The 14,150-nt window shown below is 39.8% G+C and overlaps 1 protein-coding gene and 1 pseudogene across 59 annotated transcripts in view; both read right to left on the bottom strand.

Annotated features, from left to right (window-relative positions):
- The window catches only part of SPIDR (scaffold protein involved in DNA repair), a 475,429-nt gene that overhangs the window by 61,295 nt on the left and 399,984 nt on the right, over window positions 1-14,150 (bottom strand). For 58 of the 59 annotated variants that reach the window (NR_148202.1, NR_148205.1, NR_148204.1 and 55 more), the window contains one exon: window positions 1,071-1,211. Coding sequence is in view for 54 of the 59 variants with exons in the window: in XM_017013268.3 (XP_016868757.1) it covers window positions 1,071-1,211 (141 nt within the window). In the remaining 5 variants the exon portion in view is untranslated. Of the gene's footprint in view, window positions 1-1,070; window positions 1,212-14,008; window positions 14,095-14,150 lie in introns of all 59 variants that reach the window. The other variant, NM_001352960.1, reaches the window with a different exon arrangement.
- On the bottom strand, window positions 7,135-7,241 carry RNU6-665P (RNA, U6 small nuclear 665, pseudogene; annotated as a pseudogene).

Genomic DNA, 14,150 nt, shown 5'->3' with positions numbered 1-14,150 from the left:
AAAAACCAAACCAAACCAAAACAAAACACAGCTATACAGATCAATGAAAATGTGCTCTTATCTACTCAGGGCTTACAGGGGATATGTCTCCCAGGAAAACAAGCTCTTGGGCAGAGCTGTCACTCAGCAGTACGGTGCCACAGGAAAGAGAGACAGGACTCAAAGTCAAGGCCTGTGGGAGAGCTAAATGCCTACTGAGCTCAGTCAAGGAAATGCTCACTAAACATTCACCATTTAGAATGGCCACAGCCAGAGTGGTCATGATGCAAACTACTGGAGGATACTATCAATAAATGTTCCAAAAGCAGAATATCATACACTCAGAACTGGACTTTTCCTCCTTCCGATACTGTTATAGCTCAGATGTTACTATAATTTAATATAAACATCAACAAGAGAGCTAAAATAACAAACCATTTAAAGAAAGAGATGTAACAAGAAGATTGAGAAAACCCCCAATTCACTGTATGACTGGATAGTTCCATTAAAAATGTTTCTTTTTTTTTTCCCCCTAATTCATAGATTAGAATGATTACTGGAGATGTAACAGGCACAGATAGGCCAGATCTTTGTAACACTCCACCTCTGCCTATCAAAAACAACATTTTAGGGCGAGGTGCCATGAAACCTGGCAGAGAACAATGCTTGCTTACTTTGGAAAGTGCAAAGACATGACAACTTAAGAATTTTGCTTAAAGCTCACAAAATGTCTTTTCACTAAATTAGATTTTCATTTACACAACCTACCACCCAAAGATGCTTTATTGTTATAGTGAAGAAAACACTTACAAAAGACAGATTTTCATAATTAAAAGACATACATAACATTTTAATCTTCTTTTAATAAAATTATGAATCATGAAATCTGCCTAATTCTTTTCGTTGTCAATTGAAATTCTTCCCCTAAAGATACTTTATAGATTCCACTCAACTCCTGGCCTTGTTTTATGGGCAAACTCTAGGATCCTGGTTTATTGCCTTTTAATTTTAAAAATAAAATTAGAGACAAAAGACTAAGAAAAAGAACCAACAATTGTAGCAAATTGGATGCCATTCCTGCACGTTCTCACCTTCCTCTGGTGACTTTCTGTAGAACCTTCATTCCCACCAGGCTGCAAGACTTCCCTTCCAACTGTCTTGCCTTCGACATGGTGAACTCCAAGTGCACTTCACCGAACATTCCACAGGCATCTTGTACCAGAAGGCAGGCTCTGTAAAAAACCATTCACATTTGTCTTTGAGGAGGCAGTTTGGATTAATACAGAGATCAAGATTTCCCTCTTCTTCATTATAAAGCCACTATATACTGCTGTGACTGGTCAATATAATTTAAAGAAAGTAAAGAAAAACCAAGGGGGGAAAAAAAAAAGAAATCCACTGTAGTCATCTTCCTAAATGGGTGAGTCAGGATTAAAAAAACGTTGAATTCAAGATATCCTTTCTGTATGTGTTCATGCAGGTGTTTGAACCACCATCCACAGGCATGAAACTAAAACCTAAGCCAAATATGGCTGAAAAGTACCTCAAGATGACCATTCTCTTAAACCAAATACATTACCTAGAAACAGAGTGTCCTTTTCCCATTTTTACCGTTTCCCATGAAAGAAATATTTGCTTTGTGTGGATGCTCGATACTGAGAAAAGCTGCAGGATAACATTACGATAAGAACAACAATAAGAGGCATTCTCTGCGACAGTACACGTTTAGACACGCATATCCCAGCAGGATAAAACCTGGTGTCCCAGCTTGCAGCAACACAGCCATGATGGACAGCCAGCGACATGATGGGATTCCCCCCAGCTTTTAAGTTTAGATGATGTTACTCATGAGAGCCTATTTATGACTGAATTTCCAATCCTCTTATTTTGTAACTGAAGTAAATGAAGCTTATTTATCACAAAATGACATATTCTCAGAAAACATTTCACGGAGCCTGAAGAAATTATAGTCAGTAAATAACATCACAAAATGGACATAAAAACTGTTCTAAAGATAAGAATGTGAAAAAAGCACATGTTGGAGGAGAACAGATGAAGCCAGGAGCCTTAAGTGCTGCCTTGGCAAAAGGGTCAAGAACTGTAGACTCCTTAATGAAGTCTTCCAGGCCCACAGGGCCAGCTGGTTTGCAAGAGAAGCAGAAATATATCCTGTCTGAAAAAAAGCACCTTTACTTGGATTGCTAGTTCACCATGGAATAAGACCAAACAAAGATGTGCTCAAATAAAAATCAAACACAAAGAAACAAACCATCATGTGGGAATAGTCAAAAGAAGTAACACCAGACCTGCTGGGGACTTGAGATATTAGAATTAATGAATAGAAAATATAGAATAACTGTTTTAAAGAGGTAAAAGGTCCCCAAAATATGAATAGGAGACAAGAAACTACATAAAATGACTTGATAGATTTGAAGAAGGATGAAATCACATTTTCAAAAAGGAAAGCTACATTTATTGAAATAAAAATATTCACTGAGTAGGTGTAACAAATGGCTATATGCATCTGAAAAGTGTATATATGAGATCTGAGGTATAAATCTGAATAAATTACTCAGAATATAGCTTGAGAAGTGAGAGGAAAAAAACATGAGAGAAGGTGCAGAAATAGAGGAGAGTGAGAAGGTCTAACACGTCTAATAGGAATTTCAGTAAAACAAGACAGAGGAGGGGAAGCAATAATATGTAGTTACAGTGATTGAGAATTTTTCCCAACTGATTTAAGATACAGGAAGAAAAACAAATACCAAGTGGGGCTGGCCATAGTGGCTCACACCTGTAATCCCAGCACTTTGGTAGGCCAAGGTGGGAGGATTACTTGAACTGAGGGGTTTAAGACCAGCCTGGACAATGTATTGAGATCTTGTCTCTAGGAAAAATTTTAAAAAATTTAGCTGGGTATGATGGCGAACGCCCATAGTCCCAACTACTTCAGGGGCTGAGGTGGGAGGATCACTTCAGCCCAGGAGGTTGAGGCTTAAGTGAGCTGTCATCATGTCACTGCACTCCAGCCTGGGCAACAGAGCAAGACCCTGTCTCAAAACAAAAACAAAGGGGGGAAAAAGACCAAACAAATACCAAGCAAGACAACGAAATGGAAATCCAACTAATATACTCACTGTAATGAAACTAGAGAATACCAAAGACTATGAGCTGTTAAAAGCAAGAAGCACACAAATAAGATTTTAAAAGTACACACAATGAGAAGATTTAGAAGATAGTACATCTGCAAAGGAACACAAATTTGACTTAAATCAACCTTCTAAAGAGCAATGAATGACGCCAGAAGACATGGAATATTTTCAGAATTCTGAAAGCCATCTCAGAACTGTACCAGCAAAACTCCTTTCAAGAATGATGGTAAAATAAGGACATTTTAATTTTTTTATTTGTATTTATTTATTTATTTATTTATTTATTTATTTATTTTGAGATGGAGTCTTGCTCTGCTGCCCAGGCTGGGGTGCAGTGGAGCAATCTCAGCTCACCGCAACCTCCATCTCCCGTGTTCAAGTGATTCTCTTGCCTCAGCCTCCTGAGTAGCTGTGATTACAGGAGCCCACTGCCACACCTGGCTAATTTTTGTATTTTTAGTAGAGATGGGGTTTCTCCATGTTGGGCAGGCTGGTCTCGAATTCCTGGCCTCAAGTGATCTGCCTACCTCGGTCTCCCAAAGTGTTGGGATTACAGGCGTGAGCCACCCCGCCTGGCCTGGGACATTTTTAGACAAAGAAAAACTAGGAGCATTTTCTACCTACAGAACCTGACGTATTTACTGATTTACTAATTACTAAAATGATTTCTAGACCAGGTGCAGTGGTTGACACCTGTAATCCCAGCACTTTGGGAGGCTGAGGCGAGAGGATCACTTGAGTCTAGGAGTTCGAGATTAGCCTGGGCAACAAAGTGAGACCCTGTCTCTACAATAAATAAAAAAATTAGCTGGGTATGGTGGTGCACGGTTGTGGTCTCAGCTACTCAGAAGGCTGAGGTGGGAGGATCCCTTGAGCCCAAGAGTTTGAGGGTTGCAATGAGCTACGACTGTGCCACTGCACTCCAGCCTGGGTGGCACAGTGAGACCCTGTCTCAAAAAAACAAATAAAATGATTTCTAAATTACGTACTCTAGGAATAAGGAAATTATTGTGGAATAAAGGCCTGAGATACAAGGACTAATGAGCAAAAATACAAACAACCCAAAATAAACACAGGACAGAATAACAACACAATTAATAATATTAAAGGTGTAGAGCTGAAAAACTGAAAATGGATAGCAATGAAATCAAACGGGCAGTGACTGGAGCTCAAATGTTCCCAAGTCCTCATATCACTCTAAGCCTGGAGTTAAGATATTAACTTAAGTATAGTGTATGCGGTACAATTTCAAGGATAATCACCAAAGAACAGAAACAGGGAATATAACCTCCTAATCACTAGAGGAAAAAAAATGGAATGAGAAATATAGGAAAACACAAAGAAAAAACATTAAATGGCCAAGAAAATAAAGTTGTTGGTAATCGATCCACAAACTTTATGGGCAGTTTGGCTGGGTATAGATTTCTAGATGGGAACTAATTTTTCCATTCATAGTCTAATCTTGTTTTGTTTCCCTCTCTTCTCTCCAAGTCTGAGGTCTTTTTTAGTTTCCAGTATGCTACCTGAGAGCAGGTATAAAAGTATACGTTTTGATGTTGAATTTATAATGTCTTTTTTTTGGTATATACACCATTTAAAGGCCTCCTTACCTCCTAGTTAACTCCTCACGTGACTTGCTTCTCCATTCCATAACTAAATAGGGAAGTCCAGGCCAAGCCTTGGGGACCAGGACATGTAGGGGAACTGGAGGTAGGACCAGGCTGCATTTCCTAGGAGGAGTCTCCAGGCTCTTCTGTTAGAGAACAACCCATGGTGGCCCCTACCCCTCCACATGTGATTACATTAAGGCCTGGTCATCTCCTACTGATACCCCCAAGACTTTGCTTTAAATGTTATTTTATTTTTATTGATTAATTCTTTTGAAACAGAGTCTCACTCTGTTGCCAGGCTGGAGTGCAGTGGCGTAATCTCGACCCACTGCAACCTCCGCCTCCTGGGTTCAAGCAATTCTCCTGCCTCAGCCTCCCGAGTAGCTGGGACTATAGGTGTATGCCACCACGCCCGGCTAATTTTTGTATTTTTAGTAGAGACGGGGTTTCACCATGTTGGCCAAGATGGTCTCCATCTCTTGACCTCGTGATCCACCCGCCTTGGCCTCCCAAAGTGCTGGGATTACAGGCGTGAGTCACTGTGCCCGGCCTGTGTTATTTTTTTAACCTATGCAAAAGTCAAGACAAACACAAAAATCCCCACAGATCCAAATACAAAGTTTCTATATTTTTGATTGTGTTGAGAAGGGAGAGGTATGGAACTGGCTACTACCTTTGCCTTTAAGTTTGCCCTGACGTTTTCCTTTGTCTCAAATAACAAGGAAGGGTGCTTCTGTCTATTCTTTTGCCCTAGAGACGAGTTATCACTCTTCTTCTCCTGGTATTCACACCCACCACACATGCTCTCCCACTCTGTTTTGCTCACACAGCTGCAGCTCAGAGGCAGGCTGGCTCAGGCCCGAGGTGGAGTCATCACCCCCCTGGTTCGACTGGATTGGAACTGTGGCATTCCACAGACTGCCCAGACCAGCGTCAGCTTATCAGCAGCCTGCGCTGAATTCCACCCACTTGTCAATGCTTTCTGCCCAGTGAAACGCTATCTCCTAAAATCAGTGCTAGTGTGACAGGTCTGAGCAGAAAAGTGTCCCCATGACTTACTTGTTTTTCCTGAACTGCCAGGTATTTACCATAAATTTTATCATATTCAATGGAACACAAATGGCTTCCCGGGGGGCAGCATTATGTTAATAACTTTGGATCTTGCAAAAGTTGCTTATCTGTATGAGCTTGAACTTACTCATTTTTAACACAAAATAAGAGAATCTAATTCAGAGGGCTGTTGTGAGCATTGAAGTCATTCACATGATATAGTGATTTAGGGCATGGTAGAGTGACTGGTAGATAAATCTTTTCTTGGTGGGGTACTTAGGTCAATTTTTATAATAAAATTTTGTAAGTTTCTCCATATAGCTCTTGTACATGTTTTGTTAGATCTACGCCTAGACTGTCTATGGTTTTGTGTTCTATTTTAAATGGTGTTTTGTTTGTTGTTGTGTGTTGCTGGTGTGTAGAAATACAATGGCCTTGTATATTGAACTTTTGTAATCCATCAATTACTATTTGTAATCCGTTTAGTGTACTTTCATGCAATCATTTCATAATTCCAATTTTGCTTCTTATTTTCTTTTATGGCTGCCTTTTAGGACCTTCAGGGCAATGCTGGAGAAGCCAGTGACTGGGCATCCTTATTTTGTTCCAGCTTTAAAGAAAAAGTCTTGAATGTTTTATAGTCACTAATGTTTGCTTTTATTGTTGGTAGTTTTTCATTTTTGGTTTTTTGTAGATGTCCTTCACCCAGTTAGGGAGTCCTAGTTTGTCAAGGAATTTTTTTTTTTTTTAAATCATGAATGGATGTTGGAGCTTATCAAATGCTTTATCTGTATTAATTTAAATAATTGCTTCCCCCTTTAACACGTTAATGTGGCAAATGACAATTTCAAATTCTTTCTGAGTATTAAAGTAGTTTTTCACTTTTGATGTAAAGCCAAGATCCTATTTGCTATGTCTTATTTAGAAATTTTGTCTCTAGGTCTATTAATGATATTGGTCTTTAATTTTATTTTTCATACTACATTTGGTATCAAGATCATTTATATCAGCTTCACAGAACAAGTTGATTACCTTTTCTTTTGAAAATTTTAGATAAAAATTCTAAGTATAAGACTCACATAATCTGTGTTTTGACAGTTAGAAATAATTAGGTAATAAAATCATTTAGCTTTAGTGTTTTCTTTCCTGAGAAGATTCTGAACTACCAGCTCAACATCTCTAATGATAACTGGACTATTTGAACTTTTTAATTTTTTTCTTAAGATATTTTGGTAATATATTTTTCTAGGGATTTTTCCATCTTGTCTATTTTCAAACTTAATAGCATGAAGATGCTACAGTATTCTTACATTTGTTTTTTTCAAGTTTTATTAATATTACTAAAAAATATGTAATGCTTCATGAATTTGCATGTCATCCTTGCCCAGGGGCCACGCTAATCTTCTCTGTAGCTTTCCAATTACAGTATACGTGCTGCCAAAGTGAGCACATATATGTTTCCAATTCCTGATGGGACTGATATCCCTAATTTTCCTTTTTACTATTATTTATCTTCTCTTTATCAGTTTTACCACAGGATTATTATTTCTTGCTTTTGTTTAGTCACTGTTTATGTCATTAATTTCTACTCACATTTATAATCTTTTTTTCCATTTTCTTTGGACTTATTCTATTATGCCTTTCCTATTTCTTATGTTGGAGGCTTAGATCATTAGTTTGCAGCCTTTCTCTCAAGCTATCCTACTTCAGCCTCCTGAGTAGCTAGGACTACAGGCACATGCCACCGTGCCTGGCTTTTTTTTTTTTTTTTTTTTTTTTTCCCTTTTGAAGAGACGAGGTCTTGCTATGCTGCCTGGGCTGGTCTCAAACTTTGGCCTCTTGCGATCCTTCTGCCTTGGACTCTCAAAATGCTGGGATTATCAACATGAGCCACTGTGTCCAGTCCTTTCTTCTTTTTGTTTATTTTTATTTATTTATTTGAGACCGAGTCTCCCTCTGTTGCCCAGGCTGGAGTGCAATGGCATGATCTCGGGTCACTGCAACCTCTGCCTCCCAGGTTCAAGCGATTCTTGTGCCTCAGCCTCCCAAGTAGCTGGGACTACAGGCGTGCACCACCACACCCGGCTAATTTTTGTAGTTTTAATAGAGACGGGGTTTCACCATGTTGGCCATGCTGGTCTTGAACTCCTGACCTCAGGTCATCTGCCTGCCTTGGCCTCCCAAAGTGCTGGGATTACAGGCGTGAACCACTGCACCTGGCCCCTTTCTTCTTTTTAAAGTTGAGCTAATTTGACTAAAATTTATTCTAAATATCAAGTTAATGACATCACATAAATTTTAATATTTAGTATTTTTATTATCAGTTGTAGATATTTTAAAATTGTCATTATTTCTTTTTTGATCCAACAGGAAGTATTTTTCAAATTTTATAGGGATTTTTAAATATATGTTTTTGTTATTAACTCTTATTGCATTCATTGTATGTTGCTATACACATTACTCCCACAAATTTGAAGCTTAAAATACAAACATTAATTTTTTTCATAGTGTATGTGGGTTAGAGGTTCATCATCTTGACAGCAGTCAGTTAGTGCCAGATCCTGTTCTATTTGCATTCTTCTCCTCAAAAGGCCCTTAGGAGCTAGGCTATTATTATCCCTATTTAGCACATAGAAGACTGTAGATCAGAAAGGTTTACTATCTTGCCCAAAAACCATACAACATTAAATAAGCAAACTAACAATAAAATGAAATGATATATAAGCATATTTGATATAAATATCTCTTTAAATTTATAAAAGTGGGGAAATACCAGCCTAATTTCCAGAGCTAAACCTCCATCAGAATTCAAGTGCAGGTGAAATTGATTTATATACCACTGTAGTCAGCAATAAGGAATAGATCATCAGTCTAAAGCACTGTGTTCTAAGAGAACTCTCTGCAAGGATGGAATAAATGTTCTATGTCTATGTTGTCTAATGTGGTAGCCACTAGCCATATGTGGCTACTGAGCACTTGAGATGTGGCTGATGTGACTGAGGAACTACATTTTTAATTTTATTTAATTTTAATTAGTTTAAATATAAATAATCACATGTGGCTAGTAGCCACCCTATTGGACAGCACAGTTTAAAGGCCTACAGAACTGGAAGAACCAAAAACTATGAATACTTAAAAATTGGTTAATCAACCTTTCAAACACAGTAATTAAAAAGTGATGAATTTTTAAAGTGACTAGGGAAACCACGGCATAAATAAATAAGAGGTTATTTCAAATAGCCTTCAATTTAAAGCTTTTCCAAATTATGTTCTATAAAAAAATGCAAAAAATTTATGTTTTATCCAACACTAATATTCACAGAGTATTAATAGGTGTTTCTCAAAAATTAGCACTATCAACAAAATGTTAGCAATATTTTCTCTGAAATGTATTTTAACATATCAAAACCATACATAATTACTACTGTGTTCAATCTCCTTGATAATATGATATTTTACACCCAAGAATGCCAGGGAATCCCTGAGTGGTCACCTGATGCAGAAAGACATGATTTTAGGTCCTCACCTTGTGTATCAGCAGTATTTAGCAGGTGATATGCAGAAGAATGTATCGCCTATTTTAAGACAACTAGTCTTAACATTTCCACAGATATGTATGACATTATTTAATTTGTAGTGGCTATAAGATATTTATATAGTACAAACTAATTTCTCATGGTTCTGTGACTGAAGGAAATTTTATGTAAGAATTAGGGTTCTGCAGCTAATAATTAGGTCTAGTCCAAACAAGTAAAAAGCTAGAATACTTCAAAATGAAGATGAACGACAGTGGTCTTTGGTTTCTATAAAAATGAAAAGGTGAGCTAAGATAAAACAATTAGTGTTCAATCCTACTGACCTAACCTCAGGGATTAAAGGCCAGAAGGAAAGTATGGTGTAAGTAATTTGTTTCTTTCAGCATTTTGAAGATATATCCCAGTGCCTTCTGGCCTCCATTGTTTCTGATGAGAAGTCAGCTAGACTGTCACTGGGGCTCCCTTGTATTAATATATGATGAGTCATGTTTCCTTTGTTGTTTTCAAGATTTTCTCTTTATCTCTGGTTTTCCACATTTTGACTTTGAGGTGTCTGGGTGTATGTAATATGTTACAAATTTTAACTTATTAAAATTTTGCATCAAATTTGATAAGTGCTCAGCCATTATTTCTTCAAATATTTTCGGCATCATCCTCTCTCTCTCGCACTCTCATTACACATATTTTGGTGCACTTAATCATGTCCAACATTTTTATGAGGTTCTCTTTCGTTTCCTCCATTCTTTTCTCCCTTTCAGATTGCATAATCTTAATTTCTTTTTTTTTTTTTGAGACAGGGTCTCACTCTGCACCCAGGCTGGAGTGCAGTGGCACAATCTTGGCTCACTGCAGCCTCGATCTCCCAGGCTCAAGTGATGCTTCCACTGCGGCCTCCCAAGTCCACCACACCTGGCTAATTTTTTTTTTTTTTTTTTTTTTTTGTAGAGATGGGGTTTTCCATGTTGCCCAGGCTGGTCTCAAACTCCTGAGCTGAAGTGATCCACTAGCCTTGGCCTCCCAAAATGCTTGGATTACAGGTGTGAGCTTCCATGCGCAGCCTCATTATCTTAATTTCAAGTCCACGAATTCTTTGTTGTGCTGTCTCAAACCTACTATTGAGCCCTTCTGGTGAATTTTTCACTTTGGTTGTTGTTCTTTTCAACAACAGAATTTCTATTTGGTTCTTTTCATAGTTTGTATCTTTTTATTGACACTCTGTTTGGTTAGACATTGTTAACATATGTTCCTTTAATTCTTTAGACATGGTTTCCTTTAGTTCTTTGAATATAGTTATAATGGCTGGTTTGAAATCTTTTGTCGGCTAAATCAAACATCTGGACCTCTCCAAATGCAGTTTCTATTGCCTGCTTCCCACCTACCCCCACTAGTCTTCCGGGCTTGCCTCTCTAGCATGAAGCCTCCAACCTATGGGTGAGCTGGAGTGGGACAGTCAGGTCCGTATTCTTGGCCTGACTCATTTGCTGGGTGATGAGAGATGCTGGAGGCTGGCCATGAAGGGTGAAATGTACCCTACACTGGGGGCTGGGGGAAGAGGGGACCATCTTCTTGACTGGACCCCCTAGAGTAGAGCCCCAGGTTAGTCTCTAGAAAGTGAGTTTGGATGGTGGAGGAGTGGGTCGTGGCTCACAGGCCACACACTTGCCGTTCTCACTTAGATTTAGTAGTTATTTTTGATTCCATTCATAGAATGTTTCTCCATTTGCTGTATGCCCTTAGGACAATTTCTAGAGATTTTAAATGCTTGTCTTTCATAATTTTCTCCAGCTAAATGTTTGTTGGAGAGAGAATCCACTGTGTCCTCATTCTGCTATTCTGAAAGCTGGTCTTCTGTTTCTTTGATTTATTTCCATTGGAAATAAAGATTCTCTAGATGATTAGCATGTGTCGTGTGAGAAAACAAAATGGCTCTTTAGCCCTTATTTATAAGTCTTGAGAGTATTTGGAAACTATCCATTCTGAATTTGTACACAAGTGTGAGCTGTTATTTCTTGAGACATCTTGATTTGCTTGAACACAAGAAATGAGCCAAGTACAAAATTGCCAAGCCAGATAATGGAAGTGCAACACATGCAGTGAGGCATGAAGGGCTGCAGAGCCATGAAGTAAGTGTCACAAGATCCTTAATAACAAAAGCACTTGGGGGTTTGTCATTGTGCTCCAAAATAGTGCCTTGGCCTTCTTAGGGTTTCTAGTAAATCAATGATCCATCCATTCATGTGCTAAATACAGCAGGACTGCCTCCTGGATAGGCCCTCTGTGAGGTGCTAGGTACAGGGTAGTGGGCAAACAGTCCCTGCCCTCTGTGTTTCTTGGCAAGAGAGACCAATCACACACAAGTGTGCAACTACAGACTGTGTGAGTGATAGGAAGGAAATAAAGAGTGCTGTGAGAGATAGCACTGGGGTGGTGGGATGGTCTAGTCAGGCTTGTCAGGGAAGGCTTCTTAAAGGAAGGTGACCTTTAGGCCGAGCCTAAAGAGAGAGAAGCAACCAGTTATGCAAAGGCTGAGAGAACACTGAAAATAGAGAGCATAGCATGTATGAAACCCTAGGACGGGAAAGAGGTTTTCCGTGGCTGAGAAACTGGAAGGAGGCTAGAAGATAATAAGAAAGACAAGACAGGTGTCTTAGTCCATTTGAGCTGCTCTAACAAAAATACCACAGACTGGGTGGGTCATAAACAATAGAAATGTATTGCTCACAGTTCTGGAGGCTGGGAAGTCCCAGATCAAGGCACCAGCAGGTTTGGCATCTGGTTGAGGGCCTGCTGCCTCACAGACAGCTGTCTTTTCAAAGCAACCTCCTATAGCGGAAGGGTCAATGACTCTCTTGGGCCTCTTTTATAAGGATGTTAATCCCAAAGGCCCCACCCCCTAATACCTTGCGGGTAAAGATTTCAACATATGAATTTTGGGGGAGATGCAAACATTCAGACCATAGCAATAGGAGAAAGCAGGGATAAGAGGAAAGACTATTTATTGCATTATTCTTAATTTAAAATTAAACATATTTATGAAAAATTAAAAATTTGATAAAAATTATTTTCTCTTGGAAGGAAGGGAATAATGGCACTGGTGAGGGAAAGGGTTTTGTGGGGAGTTTGCTTGAAGAGAGAACTTTTAGACAGTCTCCTTAGACCCAGTGGGAGTCCACTGCCCTAATCAATGACAAATGCCTGAGAGGAAGGAGTGAAGGTGCAAAGTAGTGCTCATTGGCTAGTATGTTTTCTTTTGTTTATATAGTGTTAAAAGTTTTCAGAAACTAGTAACTAAAATTAAGAACTGGAAGACTTTACATAAAATTCAACTTTCTAGTTATCTTGAGAAACTTGCAACCCCGGTAGCACTAGGTCAACACCCACAGTGGCTGCCTCAGGATGAGGCATGGGCTTGTGAGTCCATCCTGGTGCCCTCCCCTCCACGCCTGGTCCCAGTCCTCAGATGCTGCCACCCTCTTTGCCTCTTTGGCTTCTGTCAGCATGTGAGAAGGCATTCGAGAAACATTTCAAGGCAGAGGCTGGAGAGCACAGTTGTGAGTAAGGGATGCGGGACAGAGCGCCTGCACTGGCCTGAGGTTCGGAGGAGGTGAGTAGGTGTGGAGAGTGAAGAGCAGCCTCGGCATCAGGCATAGGATGGGCCTCATTTCAGAGAACAAGGAGCTGTGGAAGAACCCAGAGGCTGCTCAAGTGACTCGAGGCAGGATGCAAGTGAGAACGGGGCTGACTAACACAGAACTGGGAAGGGCAAACTGCTCTATGGAGAATGTGACTCAAACCAGCAGGGCAGAAGCATTGGGATCCCAGCTCTGCCACTATCGACAAGGCACAGAAGCTCTCTGGGCTGAGAGTCCTTTTATAAGACAAGTGGATATTCTCTAGAAGTCCTTTCAGTTATTTTTGTTTAAGGAACGTTAAATCTTTGTGTATCTATAGAGAAGGCTGCAACTGCAGCTGCAGCTCAGGCACCAGCACCCAAGTTGAGGAGCAGACGCTCACTGTGTGTGGTTGTGCTCTGCAAGACAACCAGCAGACACCAGCACGATCCTTAGTAAGCTCTGAAATATTGGGAACCAGTGGCTAGCCAGGCCACGGCGGGCTCAAGAGATCTGACATCTTAAAGTTATCTGATTAATGTTCATAAAACGGAGCTTCCACTTTGGGAAGCAGTTGAGTACATTCCTTTGCTGTCCTGCCATAGAATACCCACTGCCAAGGCAAAGGTATGCATCCAGTACACCACACTCTCCGCTGCTAGCGATCTTGAGCTAAGGCTTGGGCTGCAGGCGACTTCTCTGCCCTATGCAGCACTGAGCATGGTTGGTGGGTCCCTTATACCTGGTGTGAGGGGATGCTGCTATCTATAGGAGTGATTAACTTAGATAAGTGCTTAGAACAGCCATGATAAAATATCTCACAGAGAAGTAGGACATGTGTGTTTAGAATGAGAGTCTCACAACTGCACTGATTCCATCAGCCAGAGAGCCATTCAAAACTTCTTGGAATAACAGTCCGTCAAGTGAATTCCACTTATTTAATGTTTAAGATCAATGCTTCTGCCACAGACACACCCCAATAACCCCCACTTTCATGACTATAAGACGGTGGTGCAGGGGAGCAGGCACCACATGACACGAATGGACACGGACACTAGGAGTTTGGGTACCTGCACAATCCAGATTATGTGAATTTGTTTCACACCCAGTTAAGTGCCTGCATCTCTTCTGTGCTCAAAATCTTGGTTTCCTTCACCTACCAGACAAATGCGCATTGTTACACATGCAGTTAACTGACAAGAAAATAGGGTT

This window comes from Homo sapiens, chromosome 8 (genome assembly GCF_000001405.40).
Source record: "Homo sapiens chromosome 8, GRCh38.p14 Primary Assembly".
In the NCBI taxonomy this organism is placed as follows: Eukaryota; Metazoa; Chordata; class Mammalia; order Primates; family Hominidae; genus Homo; species Homo sapiens.
This window is presented reverse-complemented; position numbering and strand designations above follow the sequence as displayed.